This window comes from Homo sapiens, chromosome 6, assembly GCF_000001405.40.
Source record: "Homo sapiens chromosome 6, GRCh38.p14 Primary Assembly".
Taxonomy (NCBI): domain Eukaryota; kingdom Metazoa; phylum Chordata; class Mammalia; order Primates; family Hominidae; genus Homo; species Homo sapiens.
The window spans coordinates 106,047,177-106,068,976 of record NC_000006.12 but is presented as its reverse complement, the minus strand read 5'-3'; the positions used below and the strand labels follow the sequence as shown (position 1 = coordinate 106,068,976).

Here is a 21,800-nt window from a genome sequence, read left to right as displayed (position 1 = left end):
GCACAAAGATGGGTGAATGATAGGAAGTCACCTGCAGCTGAAGAAGGCTCTGCCCCTTGCTGACCTAACAGTGGCCACAGATGGGGGATGTACCATAGCCTCCAAACAGAGAATGTTCACAGCCCAAATTCCTAAAAAAGTTGCCTCTCTTCAACAAATTAGGGAGGGTAACATAATTTCCTTATGTGGGGAAAGAAAAATGCCTGTATGTCCTCTTTTCTTTGCAGATGACATGATGCTGTCACTGTTTGTAGAGTTGAAAATGTCCCTTCTGAAGAGTGCACTGTGTGTTCAGGCAAGGATGCCCATCTCTTGACCCAGAACCCCAGCTCAGTACAGCTTGTGGTAACAACGTTCCCATGTATGACTGTGGATGGTAGAAGGAGAATTTAACCATGCTTTTGGAAAGTGCAGGAGTTACAGTGGGAGAGGTTTCTATAAATACAAATTTAAATGAATGGTTTACAAGATACTATAACTTATGTGAAAAGGAAGGAAGGAGAATATACATATTGCACACAGACAAACATATGTAAGGCTACACAAGAAGCTGAGAACAGTTGCTACTCTGAGGAGAACAGGGTGGGCCAGGCACGGTGGCTTATACCTGTAATCCCAGCACTTTGGGAGGCCAAGGCAGGTGGATCACCTGAGGTCAGGAGTTCGAAACCAGCCTGACCAACATGGTGAAACCCTGTCTCTACTAAAAATACAAAAATTGGCTGGGCGTCGTGGCATCCGCCTGTAATCCCAGCTACCAGGGAGACTGAGGCAGGAGAATCGCTTGAACTCAGGAGGCAGAGGTTGCAGTGAGCCGAGATCACACCATTGCACTTCAGCCTGGGCAACAAGAGCAAAACTCCATCTCAAAAAAAAAAAAGAACAGGGTGGCTGGAGTGTGTGTAGACTTTTCACTGTATACTGTATACCTGTTGGTACCTTTACAATTCTGAACAATGTGAGTATATTTACCTATGCAAAATAAATATAGATAAGTTATATATAAATTGCTTTGAATTTTTTAAAATAATAAGTTGTTGCTGAAGATATTCTAAATTTTTACCAAATGTACATTTTTTTATTGTGGTTTAAAATATATAAAACAGAAATTTACCATTTTAATCATTTTAGAGCATACGACTCAGTAGTATTAATTACATTTACACTGTTATGCAACCATCACCACTATTCCCAAAACTTTTTCATCACTCAAAACAGAAACTCTGATCCTATTAAGCAATAACTCCCCATTCCTCCCTTTCCCCGGCCCCTGGTAACCTCTATTTTACCTTGTGTCTCTGATTCTGCCCTTTCTAGGTACCTCATAGAAGTGGAATCATACAGTATTTGAACTTTCGTGTCTGGCTTATTTTACTTAGCACAATGTCTTCAGGGTTCATCCACATGTAGCATATATCAGCACTTCAGTCCTTTTTATGTCTTATATTGCATCTTGATTCTCCATTCTTCTGTTGAGGGACACATGGGTTGCTTCCACTATTGTGAATAATGCTGCTATGAACACTGGCATATAAGTATCTGAGTCCTTGTCAATTCTTTTGGGTGTATATCTAGTAGTAGAATTGCTGGGTAATATGGTAATTCTATATTTAGCTTTTTGAGGAAACCCAACATCATACATTTAAACATAGATATTACATTTACAGGAATTTATTCTAGGGAAGTAATGGAATGCAACCAGAGAATTATCCACTAAGTTTTTGACCATAAGCACTGTTTATAATATTGAAAAACTGGAAACAAGCCAAATGATTAACAATGTGGAATCGGTTAAATGTCTTATTTATGCAAGCAAATTCTATGAGGCTGTTTGTAATGGTGGTGAAGAGAATTGGCTCTGAGGTCATCCTGCCTGGGTTAAGATCTTGGCTCTACTATTTACATGCTGTCTGACTTTAGCCAAGTTAATTACCTTCCCTACATCTCTCATTCTTCATCAGCAAAATGGAGATAATAATAGCACTAAGTTCACTGGGAGATTGTGAAGACTAAATCACTTAATACACATGAAGCATCCGGAAAAGGGCCTGGCACACTATGTCCACAGGTATGGTTCAAATACTTTACCATAAGCAATATCATAATTTTATAATAAAGAACAGTGTTGCAGTAGATATGTAATGATGAAGAAAATACTCGGATCCATAACTGACATTACTTACTGTAAAGCATTTTTGGTGGAAAATGTGTATATATGTATACCCACAGGAAAAAAAGACTAGAAACACATACACAAAATATTAATCAATTAGAACCAGGTGGTAGAAATGCTATTGATTTCTTTTCTGTATTTTTTCAAATCTTTAAGAATGAATATTACTTTTATAATTAGGAAAAAAGTTAGACAGGAAAGGAACAGAAGAATGCCCTTTCTGAATGTCTATTGTATTTTAAATTTGGATGCAAGAATCTTAAACATATTTTGTTGTACTATCTTTTGAAATGCTGGATTCTAAAATCCAACCTGCTCTGTGGGAGAATCATGAAGCAGAAAATTCTCCTTCACAAAACTGCCTACTTGATTAAAATCTTATTTTAAAAATCTTTATTAAAATCTGATAATCGTCTTTGAGGGTAAAGTTCTAAGACTGACGTGACCGAGCCCTCCTCACAGCTCACCCCGCTTCCATTTAAACATGATCAGCTAGCTCCTGTCCACCAGCATGATGAATTAAATGTATGACAGTTATGACAGGTGAGGAGTACATGGAGGGGCTTAACCAGCAGGGATAAGATAAAGCCCCCATTTAAGAACAAAGCCCCCACCAAAGCTTGCCTATTAATGACCACGCACAGAATCTCTTTATTTGTCCCATTTGGAAGGAGCAAGCGGAAACCATAGACAATGGGTGGTTAGGCAGGGCGGCTGTTTCTCCAAGGGCCTCCCAACCAACTAATTGAAAATCCTTGATTTTCTGCTAAACACATCTGAAAGACAGGCTCAGCTTCCATGGGCAAGGGCAAGGCTGCCTTTCAATGTTGTATTAATACAATAGACTTAAATTTACAGCTGGACTAAGTGGAATTACTGTATGTAAACCATAATATCTATCTGCAGGGATCCAGCTAAGCCCTAGAGAGACAAGTACAGCAGGACAAATCCAAGGAATTTTGGAAGTCAATCCATTAGGATTATGGGGCAGACCCCTGATTTTGGAAGTCATGGGTTCAATCCATGGAAGCAGGGAAGTCTCAATCTTCTTTTATCCTAACCTCTTATCTGAAGGCCTGCTGACCCAGTTTTTATTTAAAATAAACTGAGAAACTACAAATAACATAATCATTTTCTATATTTATATATTATTGGGCAGCCAGCCTAGTCCTGTATTACCTTTTGTGCAGTAATTAAAAACATACTAGTGTGCCAAAAGTGTAGCCCTTTTAATATATAATTACGATAACCTGAACATTACTGATACATGATAATGATACACATAAGAAAAAGTGAACTGTTGATTACACTTTCCTCCTTCCAGACTTTTAACCAGTGTACATTTCAGCTTATTAACAACACGAGACGCTATAAAAGAGCTAAATTATAGGATGCTCTCTGAAAATATACTGTCACCTAGGGCCTGGCTCTTATGGATTGGTTTGTGTAGGGGCAGGTCTAATCATAGTAGGTACTCAAGAAGTATTTGTTGAATAAATAATATATAAGATTGTGTGGTGGCACATGTCTGTAGTCCCAGCTACTTGGGAGGCTGAGGCAGGAGGATTGCTTGAGCCCAGGGGTTTGAGTCCAGCACCCGGGCAACATAGCAAGACCTGGTCTGTTTAAAAAAACAAAAAACTTGACAAAAAGAAACACTTGTTCAATAAATACATAAGATCAACAAAAAGACTAAAGCCACAGACCTCCTCTAGCCATCAAAACAGCCTCCAACTACCCCAGAGATCAGAATAAACCCATCCATGGCAGACCTCAGCCATTCCAGCAGTCTGTGCACAGTTAGTCACATGGACAACCAGTGTGGCTGGCAGAGGTCCTACTGAAGACCAGATAGACTAACAGCAGAGAGCATCATCTCTCTTCTACAGAAGAGGAAACGGTGATTCAGTTAAGCAACTGCCCCAAATTCAAAAAGCAATTCAGTGGCTGGGCTGAAAACCCCTCCAGAATCTGCAAGCCTCTCAAGGCTCTTTCCAAGGCTCTGTGCTGTTCTCTGCTCCCACCCTATCCCCAGAAAGTCTCCTGATCAATGCTAGCTTTAATTCAGCATCTGTAAGGACTTTGGCCAAGCATACATTCTTTCCTTCTCACCAAGGAGAACCAGCTCTGGAAACATCTGAAACATAAGGACCCAACTTATGCCTATACAGCCAGGAAAATCAGAGAGAAGATTTTCCTGCTATTAGAGGTCAAGATAAATTGAGGCTGGGCCGCACGCCCTCAGACGACAAGTACTCATTCTTGCACTGCTTCCCATCTCCCCTTTCACATAGGAGTAGAATTATTCTGGTGGTCCTCAAAACATCAGGTTTGAGTCATTTGGCAAATCCTCTTCAAGGCTCTTTTACTCATTGCAAAAACATCCACCTGTGTTTTAAACTGCCCAACAGTTTCCCCGCTGGCTAAGCATCTCACTGATCCTGAGTGATCACTGTGACTGCCCTGTGAACAGGCCTGGATTTCGTCTGTCCACAGCTCAACACCCAGAGAGGATATTTTACAGAAAAGCCAAATAGACATCGAGGCTAACTGCTTTTGGGCCTTATCTGAATGACAGTACTTAACTTTCACCACCTGGGCCAGGCCTTTGCAGAGGAAACAGTCACACTCAATTACTGTCTCTTTCTTCTAGACAACTACTGTTTAATCCTACCTCCAGCTGATATAAACTGGTGGAAAATACAATGCTATTTTTAGATGGGACAGTGATTTCTCCCTTTCATCTATGAAAAATGTACTTCCTCTTGCAATCGGGTCCATCCCAGATGCCGGATTTGGGGTAAAAATTTAATACTAGGGCATTATTACCCTTTGCAGAATGAGTGAGCTTTGAACTCTCTAAGCTAGTTTTAAATTCAAAGCTATTCTCTATTCTGCACTCTGTTAAAACATGTAAGTAAACAGAATATAGGCTAAATCCCTACAAGCCACACTGACACAATGAAGATGAATAATTTGCTTTAAATAAGACTCGCATACAAGGGGAAATTAACCAAAATAACATTGCAAAAGCTTCTTGACACATTTCTGCCTTCTACCCTCCATGTCAGCTGTTCTCCTTGCCCCATCTTTTTAATCTCAAGCTAACAAATGATTTGGTCAAGAACTTGATTCAGCATGTCGTAAACTTAACATGGAATTTCCAGAATTGACTAATAAATATTTTGGGGATTGATCATAATGTATTTCTTTCCTATTTTTTTTAGAAATTATTTTTAAAGGAACTAGGAATTACTAAATTGACTCACTCTCTTTATATATGAAGAGATGCCCCAGAGAAAATATGTATCACACAGGGCAGGGAGTCACACCTAATTCCTGAATACCTGAAAATGAGGAGAAAACTTAGCCTGACATGTCAGCAATTCACGTTTTTGCTTTAAAATGTGACTTTTCATTATTTGGTAGGAGGAGGGGTGTGAGACATTTATAGGCAGGATACAATTAAGACCAAGAAAACTCTACTTGTGAAACCAGCATTAGACCATACTAGTTGGTGCTGAGATTATCTGCTCTACAGCCAAAATACAAAAGACTCCCAGTGCACATACTTGGTGTAGAAAGCAGCCTTTGAAAATCCAAGCTCATTATTTCCCCTGGTCTTTCTTGCCATTTGAAGAAGGATCTGGAAAGGAGGTGTTGAGTTAGTTTACATTGACCTTCGCGTGACCTGAAGGTAGAAGTTTTAAGAGCTGAGCAGTGGTCACAGTCAGGAAGCCCCAGGAAAACAACACAACGAAAGGACTAAATCTGCGGGGACCCACGAATCACCCCGCCATTCCTATTGCAGATAGAGGGCATCCCCTTCGCCCTTTGCTGGTAAGGGAATCCATCTATCTTCATTTAGGCGTTTTTGGGGGGTGGGAGGTGAAATGAGAGGGGACTGCCATTTCCTTTGACTCTTAAAAACAGAAACCAGCACTGATTATTCATTTACACTCCCATTCCTTCCCAACAAACCCTCCTATCAGCAACCAGAAGAGAACCACTATTCTCTGAACACATTAGTAGTCCTCCCGTTTAGTAACCAACTGTTGCAGGCTGAGCAGCAGCAAGCCAAAACTTAGTCAAAACCTATGATTCAAAATGGTGTGTGTGTTGGAGGAGGGGTAGGGAGTTATGTTGGAAAACGCTTTGAAAGCTATTCAAAACCTTTTCTATACAGGAATAACTCTTGTTAGAGCAATTTGCTATAAAGGACATTTCACTCTTAGAAAGGGCCAGGTGCAGCCAATATTTTTTGTATACATCCCACTAAAATTACTTTAGTAAGAGCCAGCTTCCTCCACATTCCCATCAACAACTGTGCAGAGGCATCTGGAGCACTGGAAATACATCTCAAATTATTCTGTATAAATCAGTGGAAAATCACTTTCAAGATATGAATTTTCATGTTATGGATTAGCCTCATGAAGGGATTACACATTTTCTTTCCCTATGAGAAGAAAAATTAAAATTTCACTTTTCCAAAGGACAAATAGAAAATTACCCTTAATACTTAGATCTTGAAGAATAAAAAGAAATACTGCACATGACAAAGATCTGTTCCCGTATAGTAAAAATGTATTTTTAAGATTCTATAGGCAGTTCCAAATTTGAAATGATCAAGAACCTCTATAAATATCCTAAAAGAATTATCAAAACAAGCCATGTAGACAGTGGGGTCTAAAAGATTTTTTTACAATTTTAAATAGATACATCCCACTTGCTCTGCAACACTGATGAATGTATTCACAACCTCACTGACAGCTGTTTTTCCCCCACCCTTGCCTATACTGGCATTTTTCAGCTATTTTCATCTTTGCCAATCTGATAATCAAAATGGATCAACAGAATTAACTTTAGGATAGATCCTCTCCTGAATATATCTTGTAATGGTGCTTTAAAGTCTGTCACTTCACTTCTAGGCCTCCTGGATAGGTCTAAATTCTAACTCCATTAACTAAAGTAGAAATGATCATGGATGGGCCAGAGCTGAATTTGCCAGTTGGATATCATCAAAATCTCCCAATGCCTTGAAAATGCATGAAGACCTCTGCCCCTAATTAGCTGAAAGCCTTAAGCCCATCACTCAATGTCTCTAAGCTTCAATTTCCGTATTAAGACATTCAACTCAAATAAGAAATCACATGTCCTTACACTACAGTACTTGTTGCTGGGGTATAAGAGCCAAATTTGTTGAGGGTGGCCAAAATGAAGTAGAGGAACTCAGAATCTAATCACATACTGGAAAATATGTTTGAGATAACAATGAGCTATGGGACGTGATTATCATGCCCACTGCAGATGAATTCAGCCAGAAGGAAAACCAGGGACATCCTGGCAGGCATGTAACTCTTTAGCCAGGTGTTTAAGGACAAGGCAGAGCTGAACTGCTGGAAGGCACTCAGTCCGGATCAGTGGAACCATCTAACTGCTGAACTGCTGGAAGGCACTCAGTCCGGATCAGTGGAACCATCTAACTGCTGAACTGCTGGAAGGCACTCAGTCCGGATCAGTGGAACCATCTAACTGCTGAACTGCTGGAAGGCACTCAGTCCGGATCAGTGGAACCATCTAACTGCTGAACTGCTGGAAGGCACTCAGTCCGGATCAGTGGAACCATCTAACTGCTGAACTGCTGGAAGGCACTCAGTCCGGATCAGTGGAACCATCTAACTGCCATGGCTAAATCCAGGGACACCGGCTAAAAACCGGAAAGAGAAGCAGGGGACTTGGCATTGAGGTTGGGGTTCTCCTTGCTTCTCTGACTGCTTCCAGATCATTTCCCCCAATCCCAATCCCAGTTCTTTTGAAGCACATGACATCAGGTGTCTGCTACACCTCTGCTTGTTGCCATCATCCCCAGATCTCCTGGTCTATCCCCCTTGATGACGGAAGACTTTCACATCTGGCTCACTGTCATCCTCCCTACCATTAGTTCTTGTTACCTCTGTCATCATCTGATTGTTTTCTCCCCCTTTATCCCCATCCCAGCCACCCACTCCCAGTTCACTTAATGGCCATCATGCCATGAAGCACATGTCCTCCAAAGCCTCTGTCTCTAACCTCCTCCTATTTAGTCTTCCCAGCACGTTTTTACTGCTTTGACTCCAGAAATTCCTCAAATTACATCAGCTCTTCCAATCCAATGAACAACTGCCCTACTTTTTCATTCTCCAGTATTTACCACTTGTTCTCACTTCCCTTATCACCCAGCTTCAAGTCTATGATCCATCCTTCCTTGTATATAATTTTCTATTATATAGTTCCTCCTCTTTCATTACTTATGCCAATCCCTAGTACTCGAGTGAGTTATCTATGTCTACAGCCTCCACTTCCTCTCATCTCAGTCTCTCCCCAATGCTCTGCAATCAAGCTTTCTCACCCATGATTGCACTAAAATCACCTTTCACACTGCTCACCAGTGACTTCCAAGTTACCAAATGAATGGGCAATTTTCTGTTTTCGGCTTGTTTATCTCTGAGCAGCACTTGACACAATCGTGCTCTCCTTCTTGAGAAAATTCTTCACATGACTTTGGACTATTCCACTCTCCTGTTTTCCTCCTTCCTCACTGGCCACTACATCTAGTGTCCTTTGCTGGATCCTCATTTTCCTTTTTGAAAAGATAGCATGACTTGGAGTTCAACTACTTCATCTAATATTTGAATTTAAATAACTGTCTGGATTGAATACATTAACTACATGCTGACAACTCCTGATTTTCATCTCCAGCCTGGAACACTCCCCTGAGCATCAGATTCCTATAAACAGCTTCCTACTTGCCAACTTTATTTGGACATTTTATGGACATATCAATCTTAATCCAAAACAGAACTGATTCTCTCTTTCCAAAGCTACTCTTCTCCATATCTTCCAATCTCAGTGATTGGCACCTCCATCCACCAAAATCGAACTTAGGAATCATCAGTTATTTATGATTCTCCCTATCTCCGTCCCCACCACCTATATCCAATCCATCAGCAAGTCTTACTTGCTTTATCTTCCAAATATTTGCCAAATCCTCCAAACATATCTCACCATCTCTACCACTCCTATCTTAGCCAAGGCTCTGTCATCATTTGCCTAGACTGTTGAATGAATGAGTCTACTAAGTGATCTTCCTCTTCCCTTCTTGTCCTCTACCATGTATTCTTCATCTACATTCAGAAATCTGTGAAAGCATAAATCACATCATGTCACTCCAATGGTAAAACTTGCCAAGGGCTTTCCATCATCCTCAGAATGAAATTAAAGCTCCTTACTTGCCAAGGTATGCAAACCAGGCCCTTCCATGTTCTACCTATCTCTTGGGTCTCATCTCCTTTCATTCTCCCACTTGTTCTCTAGGCTCCAGACACGGTTTTTGTTTTGTTTGTTTCCTTTTCTATTTCTTTGACAAACAAGCACATTCCCACCTTTGAATTTCTACCACACGTGACACAGATCACTCATTCATTTCATTAGTCTCTACTCAAATGCCACCTCCTCAGAGAGTCTTTTTTGGTCTACAGAGCTCTATCTAAAATAGTGTCCTAGCCTGTTTCTCTATTCCCTTACACTGTTTTATTTCTACTATCATAATCACTCTTTTTTATCTTACCTGAAATTGAATTAATTAATGTGCTTGTTTATTGATTTATCTGTCTCTCCCTCTAGAATGTAACCCCTATTGGGGTTACAGAATAACAGGGGTCTTGTGGTGTTTTGTCTGTGTTGTTTTTACTGCTGTATCTTCAGCACTTAGGACAATGCTTGATACATGTAGGTACTCAAGAAATATTTGTAGGATGAAAAGAATTACTGACTAGATGGATGGCAACTCTGAATGCTATAAATTTAAATTTGGTTCATCGAGTGATCTTTAAGAACCATGAGTTCTTGAACAGGACACTGACATTATGAAGATGAAGTTAAAGAAATATGCTGGTGGCCAGGCGCAGTGGCTCAAGCTTATAATCCCAGCATTTTGAAAAGCTGAGGCAGGCGGATCACCTGAGGTCGGGAGTTCAAGACCAGCCTGACCAACATGGAGAAACCGCCTCTACTAAAAATACAAAATTAGCCTGGCATGGTGGCGCATGCCTGTAATCCCAGATACTCAGGAGGCTGAGGTAGGAGAATCACTTGAACCCAGGAGGCAGAGGTTGCGGTGAGCCGAGATTGCGCCACTGCACTCCATCCTGGGCAACAACAGTGACACTCTATCTTTAAAAAAGAAAGAAAGAAAGAAATATGCTGGCTAGTGGGAATGCCAAAGTGGAAGCACATGGAGGCCAGAATCAATTGTCTTGAGGCTGCAATGGACTGAATGTTTGTGTCCCCCCAAAATTCACATGCTGAACTCCTAAGCCCTCAATATGATATATTAGGAGGCAGGATCTTTGGGAGGTAATGTGGCAATGAGGGTGGAGCTCTTGTGTATGGGATTAGTGCCTTATAAAAGAAATCTCAGAGAGTTCTCTCACTCTGATTGTATCCACATGAGGATACAACAAGTGAGAAGTTGTCTGCAACTTGGAAGAGGGCCTTCACCAGAACCCAACTTGGCTGGACCCTGATCTTGGACTTCTCAGCCTCCAGAACTCTGAGAAATAAACTTCTTTTGTTTACAAGCTGCCCACTCTGTGGTACTTTGTATAGCAGCTCAAACTGACTTAGAGGCTGTCCCAAGAGTCATTTGAGAGTTGAAAATAACTTTTGCCAAATATTGGTGCAGGGTGGTATGTAATGTAAGAATAGGCCAAGGAGGTGAAGAGTTACAAAGCATTTCAAAATTGTAAACCTATACAATCAAGTGGTGCCCCTGCCCAAATGGGAAAGTTAGGAGAAACCGGCACAAATTCACTTGCATCAAGTTCTATCTACTTTTTACAGCAAAAGTTGAATTATGATTTTCAGAATATACCTCTCATTTTCTGTCTTACCTATACTTGTATAATTAAAAAGGAAAATGAATTATCTAAGGTTTAAGGCACATTTTCTGGGAGTAAGAGAGGTATAGGAATAAAAACTGAGTTTCATATAGAGCAAAGACTAAGTGATGATTACATCCAATATCATTTTAAAAGATGATTTATGGTTCTGTTAGGAATCCTCTGTCACTCCAAATGATTTAAAAATGGCTCTTTGACATGCTTTCCTTTGAAACAGTGAATTTAGCATTCTCTGCATAGACATATGTAAGGTTGATTTACTGAGAAGAAAAAAATCAATATTGTGCAGTAAACCAGTAGATTATCCTACAAATTCAGAAGGAAAAAAAATACCCCAACAAATATATTCCTATCTACTTATACTCCATTCAGTATGCATTCCAAACCAAAAATTATAGTGAAAAAGTAAGGACCACTGCCTCTTCTCAGGGTCCATAAAAGAAGGCTACAGATATGTGAATATATCTGGCAGGTGGATGAAGCAAAAGGCTTCTTTTCACATTTCTATATAAATACAACTTTAACACCAGTTCTTGAATATGCTTTTCTCTAAACCACTCATAAAAATTCTTGAGGTTCTTAACCTTACTGGAAAAGAAAACCTCAGATGACTATAAAGTAAATACACAGCATATTCTCAATATCATGGCCATCTTCAAGCAATTTCTCACACTTATAATGCATTTATTTTATATAAAGCAGATGCATGTCTTTGGGGCAAACCATGCCTTTTATTCTTATGTTGTGAAAGTCCCTTCTAATTAAAACAGGAAATACAAATTTCCTTGTCTAGTTCTAAGGATAAATCCTACGTAGTACAAGCAGCTGTCTGCAATTTCTGATGAACCCTTTCTGGCTATTCAAAATGTATAGTGCTGAAGTCATATTCCTTGAGCACTTGTGAATCCACATTCTGAAAACAAAAGCCACACCCATTGTCCCTGCATTCTCACCTGCCAGGGCCTTGTACAACTTGGGCACCTTCCCAAGCCAAATAACAAACACAAGCAGTGCTAGAGCTTCAAAACCTTATTCAGAACTGAGGAGGCTGAATATGTTCTGAAGGAAGGGTTAAGGAAAAAGTGGAAAATGAGAAGTCATTCAAAGAAAAGGTTAGGGGTTGAATGCAGGAGAGAATGTAAATGAATTTATTTTAAAAAGTCATTCTTTAAATGCTTTGTGTTATAGCTCAAACTGCAATTAAGAAAAATCTGGTCCCACCCTTCTAATTAAAAAGCACAAGTAGTTCCTTTACTGACCACAACAAAGGGCAAATAGACTCAAACCTACTTCCTTCGCAGGAGCTTCTCTTGCTGTTTCTGAGTCGGTTGTGTGTGGCTGATAAACAGGCTTTTGGGTCTGAAGGCATTAAAGTCCAAGCAAGTTGATACATACTGGAGCAGATCAGATATGCTGTCTGAAGAGTGGGGCAGTTTTTCCACCTTTATAAAGGCTAGATTAATATTCCTACTAATTACATTCTAGGAATGGCCAATTCATTCAATTCAAATCACTTGCAAAGGCGGTGAGGGATGAGAAGGCCAGAAACTGTCCTTATCCTCTTAGGGATCTGTGGGTGAGTGCAGACTCTCCGTGCTTCTCCCATTTCGCTGCTGAGGGCTCACTTGCAGGACAACAGAGTGGGAAGGCCAGTAGCCCAAGTCCTGCTGGGCTATACCACAAAGACTGGGTAAGGGAAGTTTGTGCTTACATTATGACAGAAAACTGCTTTGTAGCTTCATCTGTAAGGAATTATGAGATGGAAATTCTTAACCTGAAAGGATTTACTTTTAATTTTAAATATCTCAGTTCCTACCTTTATATCTGAAACAATGTGTTTTTCCTTGAGTTAAAAAAAATTGTTCTTAAGAATGAGCCTTTCTCCCAATCCCCTCCCACACACAGCTTTAATTTGATTTGGACTCTCAGTCAAAAGCATCTTGTTACTTAATTCATATTTGCAAGTTCAGTAAAGTGATGGTTGTGCCTTGAAGTAACAACAGGCACGTTTGCAAGCAAAGTGTCAATAGTGACTCTGAGCTCTAAAAATCTAGAGTCGGGGACCAGAGCTGTACCCATGACTCTCCAGAACCATGGCAAGAAAGTTAGTTAATAAACACCAACTAGCTTTTTTCAACGGCAGCAATAAAATGTTCAATTGGTGAAATGTCCACAAGTTCTGCTCAAAGCATCTTGTGAACTGTTTAATTAGCAAACTCTTGCAACACTCAACAAATAGATATTGGCAAGTTAGGGAGACACAAGGTCCCTTACGTATTAACTGTGCTGATAATCTAATCTGCAGGCTTTTCAAGGGGACACATACTCCATTCTTTTTTCCTCTAAGGATTCAGATACTCAAATGACAAGCATTTTCCATTTAAAGTGTTCTAACAAGTAAATAAACCATAAGAGATGTAAAGACAACTAGTTATAATAGTGAACCAGGCTACTAATCACATGCTAGGCCCTGATCCGATTAATAATATCTCTCATGTATATAATAATGCAAGACATGTATGTATCTTCCCAAAGTAATGATCAGATTTTGTTCACATAAATATAACTAAATCCAAGAAAAAAATTCCCGTAAAAGCCAACTCTACTTTTTGCTTCATCAAACTGCAAAGTATTATCAGATACACATTTAAGGACCCTGCCCAGTATCCTAACAGCCAAAATGCTAGGAAGGTTCAATTAGCAGTGATTTTTAACTAGTCATGCTTCGTGAGAATTATTTCCTTCCTTGGCTCAGATAATCCAGGACAGGCCACACTGAGAAGTCCTAGTTAGCTGATGAAACCCAGATCACAGGTCCAATAGCAGTATGGGTCATTTCAATATATTTTGTTCCAAATTATAAACAAATTGCCAGTATTCATGCTAGAGATGTCTTCAGTAAAATGATGTGTATGAAATGTCAAAATCCTATTCTCGCTATGAATTCAGAATATGTATCCACTCTGTCAAAGGATCAGTAGTATGTTTTTGCTTATGAAAGAACACATATACACTATTCTCATAAAGATCAAAGAAATATATACCTTTTATGGCATAGAAAAATTTGAAAAGCATTACATTAAGCATCTTCTTTCTCCTTAAAAAGTATAGCTATTGTTCATTCCAATCACCATTAAATAATTGATTAAACTGCCTGTAGCTATTCTTAGTTCTACCTGAAGAAGTAAAATGCACATGGTCCTTATCTTCTTAAAGCTTATACATTAATCTGACACTGATCTTCTTAGGCTGAAATATCCAAGTCTTTCATAAATTCATTTGTAAAGCACAAAAGAAAACACATGGAAGTTATTGTTTTAGCAGAAGAGCCATGCTTTTTAATTCATCTAATGGTCTTTAGAATACTTGACATATTCTTAAAAGAAAATCTTGAAAAAAAGCCAAATACTGAAGACACCATCTGCCCCTGCCCAATTCAGAATTAGTTTTAAGTGAGAGAGAGATAGACAGAAAGGAACAAGTAGCAATCTGATTTTCAGTTTTATACAAATACACCAGGTATACACACAAAAGATTTTTAAATGCTTTAAAGAAGGATTAAGAGGCAAATCATTTACTTCAGAGTCAAAAAGCATTTAAAATTCATTTTGTAAAATACCTGAGTTTGTATCTTCCTTCAGTTTTCTTTATACATACGTGTTTCTGTAAAAATGTTGAGATGATCTTGTTTTCTATTTCCCTGCTGCAATGAAATAATGACAGCTACCTCATGACACCATCAGTCTTTGGTCAACCCCTTAACCAAGCAATAGGCAGACTGATCCTTTACACAGATGACCTATGATCTACGAATCTAGTCTCCATGAAAAAAAAAAGAGACCAACACAATGATCCTGCTCTGCAAGGAAACCCCAGAGGGGCTTTTATTCTGTGACTTTTTACAAGTGGTTCATAACCTTTGTACTCTAGACACTCATTCAAAAGATCTCACCACTCTGTAAACTAGGGGATAAGGATGCTCTAAGGCATGAACTTTCTACCCAGAGTATTGTATACATTGTGGGGGGTGGAGGGCTGGGGGGTGGTGGGCACACTGTGCTACTGGTAAAATAAACCACGAAAAAGGACATTAGCCAAGACACTTGTATTCAGGGAGCCTCGCCAACCAGGGAACTCAGTTTTGGCTTCAACCCTGTTACTCAATAACTAGGTCCCAAGGAGAGCAAGTGAGCCTCCTTAGAGTGTTGGCATTTTAAAGTTTCCTAAGAGTCCTTGGGTGCCAATAAGTGTATTTCAAGAATTAAAACAAACAGGATACAATACAATACTTATGTATTCTATTAGAATACATAATGGATACAATAGAATACTTATGTATTCTATTAGAATACATAATAGATACAATAGAATACTTATGTATTTCTAAATTGGGGTCTCAACTGTGTTTTTTCTTTTTAAAACTATAAATACAACAGGAAAAAAACATATAAAGGGGAGAAGGCTACTTACAAAAGATTACTTATGACAACATTTCTGGTTGCTTTAATTTTAATTTCCAACTGGGTTACAATTTTCACTAAGAGGTCTTCTGTCTGATTCAAAAACGACTTGATTAGAAATTCAAATTAAATTATTTGCAACAAGGCTTTTTCTTCTTTGGGGACAGGGAGATAGTAGAGAAGAAGAGGGTCACCATAGGCAAAGCTCCTAAACCAGTGTAAATAAAAATTATCGGATGAAGGCAGAAATGAAATTGAGTCCAGTTTCCCTAAACTGAATAAAATCTAAAAATCAATTCATTCTAAAATAAAAATGCAATTAAAATAAAATTCTACTCCAAAAATTAGGAAGTAAATTTGTGAAAAATAATATTTAATATTTGAGGGTTTTTTTAGGTTTTAATTTCCTCTAAATAGTGACCATAACTTTTTTTTTTTGAGATAGAGTCTCACTCTGTTGTACAGGCTGGAGTGCAGTGGCGTGATCTCAGCTCACTGCAACCTCAGTCTTCCCAGTTCAATGATTCTCCTGCCTCAGCCTCCTGAGTAATTAGGACTACAGGTGTGCACCATGCCTGGCTAATTTTTGTATTTTTAGTAGAGATGGGGTTTTACCATGTTGGCCAGGATGGTCTCGATCTCCTGACTTCGTGATCCATCTACCTTGGCCTCCCAAAGTGCTGGGATTACAGGTGTGAGCCACCCCACGCCCGGCATGACCATGAATTTTTAAAGTGATGTATTTTTACTCATCTAGTTGAGACGTATTCGGGTGTAAATCTGCCATCCTACCCAATGCATCATCAAGGAGACAGTCTGTCTTCCAACAGAGGATCCAAAACAATTGTTAATTTAATACGCTAGATATTTTCCTATGCCACAATCGGATAAGGTAAGATATACATTATTAACAGCAAGTTGATAGTTATTTTTTACATTGTTAGTTAAATGTAAACATGAAGCGTAAAAAAACATTAAAGGCATCAATAACCAGAAATTCAAGACGACCATACCTTTAAAACAAAGAATGTGAAAATCTTCCATAGAGTAAAAAAAATCTTGCCAAAATATTCAGTCTACTTAAGAAAAAACAAACAAAAAATCTTGCTATGTCTTAATCATGTTAGCCTTCTAGGCCCTGGACCAAGTTGTTACAGGTTTCCTTTGGTATATCTTATGACAAATATGTCTTTGAATATTTCTTTATTGTGGTAAAATATACATGGCATAAAACTTACCATTTTAACCACTTTTAAGTGTACAGCTCAGTGGCATTAAGTAGATTCACACTGTGGGGCAACCATCATCAGTATCCATCTCCAGAACTTTCATCCTCCCCAAACCTATTAAACAATAACTCCCTATTCATTCCTCCCTACCCCTAGTCCCTGGTAACCTCTATTCTACTTTCTGTGTCTATGAACTTGACACAGATACCACAAATAAGTGGACTTATATAATATTTGTCTTTTTAAATGTGGTTTATTTCAATTAGCATAACATTAATTTTTTCGTGTAAATTCTGATTCTCCAATTTACACATGGAAAAATTAAGAAAACAAACTGGTTACCTGGAAAATATACAGGCAACACCATTCCCCAAATACTTCATAGGCCATCCACTCACCTTTTCAAAAATAATTTTGCCTTCTATAAAGAAAATTCAGACTTCGGCATCATTTCCCCCTTCAAGGGCTCAGACTCCAGAATCTTCCTAACCAAGCCTTGTTGTGGCCTACTCTTTGCCCCTCTTTTTTCCAGACGGAAAGGAAAGTTATGCCAGCTATCCTAAGCAATCCTTTGCGGCACCACACACCTGCTCAGACAACGGGTCAGTTAAACAAGCAAAATAACAGCTGAGAAAGTCAGGTCAGCTACCCTGTGATCTTAAAGACATTTACAGAACCAGTCCCCCTTCTCTGCCTTCTTTATGTGAAAATAGCAGTTTAAGTAACATGATTCCTTCCCTTCCTGTTTGAAGAGACAGTGAAAGCCCTCCTGCTGTGAGTCCACTCTCCTAGTTTGGGGAAGAGGCCTCCTTGGTCTACAAGCTTAGTCCCTAAGACTGGGTCTGCGGGGGCAGAAGACCTAGCCCACTGAGGTTATGTTTGCTTAAGGAGCCAGGTCCAACTCAAAGAGTTAACAATTAACAAGGAACCTTATTACATGTCAGATATTCTTGTTACCATGATTTTCATTCCTAGGTACAATTAAGGAAACTGGCTTTGTGATCCTTCTTAAGTTTCTCTTCAGTCGGGCTCAATGCTCTGAATGAAAAAAATACACAAACTGGATGGATAACATTGTGGATATATTATAACAGGTGAAACCTGACTTTTCTAGTAATTTTTTTTATTTTAATGGATACAACACTACAGGTATAGTGACAAAACCAACCCATCAGGCATAAAGATTTTCTGGATGTACCTTTTCCAAATATATTTTTATATATTTCTTTCTAAGCACAATTTATCACTAAATTTTAAATACAAAAAGTAAACACTTTTTTTCATTAAGGATATGCCTTTTTAAGAAGTTTTGCTTTACTTGTAACTTTTGAATAGTGTTTCTCTGAATTCCTTAGATGTGGGTATATTGGTTTGCTTTATTTTAACTCAGAGAAGAAAAGAGAAAGAATATGAATGGCCAAAATCCACCTAAGTACTGACTGTTACAAAATACGTGTTTGAAGGTGTAACTGTGTAAGACATCTAGCATACAAAACTACCCAGTCCCCAAACAGCCTTCTGTGGTGAGGGAAGTTTTCTCTTGGCAGGTAAGATGGATGAAGGGAGAGAACCTAGCACGCGCAGAAAGCTGACAGCTTAGGAATATACATTCTTCAGAAACGAGCTCATCTGTTTTTGTGAAAGAATAAAAAGTAAATGTTAAAAAAATCTCAATACTTTATATCCAAAAGTACCATAAGCAACTGCAAAACTAAACAAAAAAAACAATTCCTAAGTGTAATAATTCTTGTAGGTTTTCATTTTAATTTTAGTAAAGCTCTTCTCATGATGTCTTCAAATCACACTAGTTTAGAATTCCATGAAGAACCTTAGAGATAATATAGTAGAGTATAACTTATCCAAGATTTTATCTTAGTAATGGAACCACTACTGTTTATCTTTTTTACTTCTATTAAGCCTACTGAAATCTTAGAGTAACACTAACAAACAGAGTAGATAAAACCAGAAATCTGGTTGTGGAAGCAGCCTATGGATCCAAGGCACATATCTGAGAAGGACTGTCAGTCCAACCCTCTCATTTTATGGAAATAGAAGCAGAGGCCCAGTAAGATGAGGTGACTTTTCCAAGTTCACATCACACCAGCATTGGAGTTCAGACTAGCATTCAAGCTCCTTACTCAGTGTCATCTCCTATGCTACTCTGCACCAAATATGAATATTTTGCATTTGTAGGAGAACTAAAAAAGTGGTCAGCAGGTTAGAATGAGGGTGAAAGTGTGGGTATGAAATTCTCAATGGCCTAAATTCAGGTTCTCAAGGCCAAAAAGACAAGAAATAAAGAGAAACGGACAATCGAGAGAACAAGGAACCAATCTAATTTAAAGGTAAAGGCAGCCATTTATCATTCTTTCCTATATTCATTTGCTCAGTGGGTAGTTAATTACAGACATGGTGCCAGGCACGGAGAAGGCACAAGTTTCCAGTCTGGCATAGTACAATGCACCTGTGTGTTTGTGTGTGTGTGTGTGTGGCCATGTGCATGTGCACGCAATTCAGGGAAGGAAATGATAGATGCCACAGAAGCAGCCCAGGAGAGGAAGACAGGGAGGGAGGACAGGGGAACCAGGGCAGGTGGTGGAGAAGGTGTCATCGGAGCTGAGCCTTGGATGGCATCCCAGCAGCCACAGCTGGACAAGCAAAGCTGTGAGGGGAGGCAAGAGCTCAGGCCATCCTCCCATCCACACTGGCCAAAATGAAGGACTCACAGAACTGTGGGAAGTATGGCTGGAGAAGTGACTTTGGAAGTGTCTGTTTACTAAAGGGATGCATGGAAAGCACATTCATATAGACATAAAATGTACACGACTTGGTCAGTCACCTGAGGCTTGTTGGTGAAAGGAAGTTACAGATTTCAACATTTGCTGTCAAGCTCCTCTATTATAGAAATAGGAGAGGTAACATAATTGGCTTTGGGAGCTGCAAGTAGTTTGCTTTCCAGTAACAGCATCTGTTCTCTCTGTTCTCTCTCTCATACTCACCATACTATCGTGCCCACATTCTCTGCTGCCTCCAAAAGTGCTAATATAAAATTGGAAATGGGGCCAGGCGCAGTGGTCCATGCCTGTAATCCCAGCACTTGGGGAGGCCGAGGTGGATGGATCACTTGAGGCCAGGAGTTCGAGACCAGCCTGAACAACATGACAAAACCCCATCTCTACTAAAGATACAAAAATTAGCTGAGTGTGGTGGCACATGCCTGTAATCCCAGCTACTCAGGAGAATTGCTGGAACCCAGGAGGCAGAGATTGCAGTGAGCCGAGATCACGCCACTGTACGCCAGCCTGGGGGACAGAGCAAGACTCTGTCTCAGAAAGAAAAAAAAAAATGGAAGGCATTTACTTCACATTTAGAGAAAAGAGCTCTAAAATACTAAGAAGTGGAAAAGGTTAAATCTGAAGCAGGACAAAATAACAAGGAAAAAGAGAAAAGCCTTCCCCTACCTTTCTGGCCTTCAGTATTCCATAAAACACATTTCTCTCCTGATAAGACCCTGTGCTGACCAGGCAACCCCACTTTACTGCAGGTTCACTAACTGAACTCAGCTGTCTTTTTCAAGGATATCAGTGCAACCAGGAGAGTCATAAAATTGTGAAATTGTAGGAAAGGGGGGCTAAGTCAAACATAGGCTCAGCGGTCTGATCAGAACAGGTATGGACAGAACTAAGCTGTTGACATCACAATAATGCAGCGTGGTCAGTTCTGAGTGCCTGAGTCCTGCCCATAACTACACACTCATATTGCTTTTTCTAGAGATGTTTCCTATTTTTTTTTTGAGACACTGTCTCTGTTGCCCAGGCTGGAGTGCAGTAGCATGATCACAGCTTACTGCAGCCTCAGACTCCTGGGCTCCAGCAATCCTCTCACCTCAGCCACCTGAGTAGCTAGGACTATGAGTATGCACCACCATGTCTGGCTAATTTTTTTTTTTTTTTTTTTTTGGTAGAGATGGGGTCTCCCTACGTTGTCCGGGCTAGTCTTGAGCTCCTAGCTTCAAGCAATCCTCCTGCCTTGGCCTCCCAAAGTGCAAGATATTGTTTTTGACAGACACAGGGCCCATGCTATTAGAGGTCTAGAAAAGGAAAAGGAACTTTTCCCATTTCTAGTCATTCATACCAAATAAAGCAGAAACAAAGGCATACACTCATTTACTTATTACCACTACATTTTAGAATCTGGCACAAGCCGTTTAAGAACTGCCAAATATGCAGTTTCACAGCTAGAAAATGGAGTATGCTTCTACTTTGAATTTATTCATTTAAATGTCCCAGGTGTTTAGATCTGTGCACTTTTCCAGCCCAGCCCCTGCATTAGCTTTGAAGAGACTGAGGGTAGGAGTATAGGATTTGCTCTCACTTGGCTAACCATAGTAAAAACTGACAACTATCAAAGGTTCTCAACTCCTAGTTCCTACTCTCTTTGTCACCAGAAATGGTTTTCTTACTTTCTTACTAAAGTTTTAGTGAAAGCCCTTGTAATTCTTATTCCTTTGGTGCAACCACTATAAGAAATGGTAGCAAAATGTGATAAGGAAGATAAGGATGACAGAAGAGGGCATTGCAGTGGTGATCCTAATACACATTTTCCCCTGGTTAGGTCCTACTAACTTCCTACAACAAAGATTTAGCTTTTTACATCCTATTCTTGTGTTATTAGCTAAACCATACACAATGAAAAGAAGCTATGCAATTCTCAACTTACAGTTTGGCCCACAATTCATGTGTCTGTCCATCTTTCTACAGGCATTTCCATCAAAGACCTACCCCACTGTTAAAGACAATTTTTAAGGTGTACTATGCTAGCAAAACCCAAATTAATTACTTCTCTGACTGTTTTCAAAAACTCAAGAAATTGTATAAACTTAATTGCTAGGCTGTGACTAAAAATGCTGTGTACAACTACATGTAGCACTTACAACTGAGGAAAAAAGCTGAAACTCCAAATTCTTTCAATATCTCCATTCTTCCTTTTTCTTTCCTAG

The 21,800-nt window shown here is 39.4% G+C and overlaps 1 protein-coding gene across 2 annotated transcripts in view, besides 1 other annotated feature; it reads right to left on the bottom strand.

The window, feature by feature from the left end:
* The window catches only part of PRDM1 (PR/SET domain 1), a 117,249-nt gene that overhangs the window by 40,962 nt on the left and 54,487 nt on the right, over positions 1 to 21,800 (bottom strand). The gene's annotated exons all lie outside the window — the stretch shown is intronic.
* Positions 4,533 to 5,043: an enhancer, noted in NCBI's record as "NANOG hESC enhancer chr6:106511809-106512319 (GRCh37/hg19 assembly coordinates)". NCBI's record gives its function as "activates a minimal SCP1, AML or CMV promoter by ChIP-STARR-seq in primed H9 embryonic stem cells {active_cell/tissue: H9 hESC(primed)}" and the evidence as "EXISTENCE:reporter gene assay evidence [ECO:0000049][PMID:30033119]".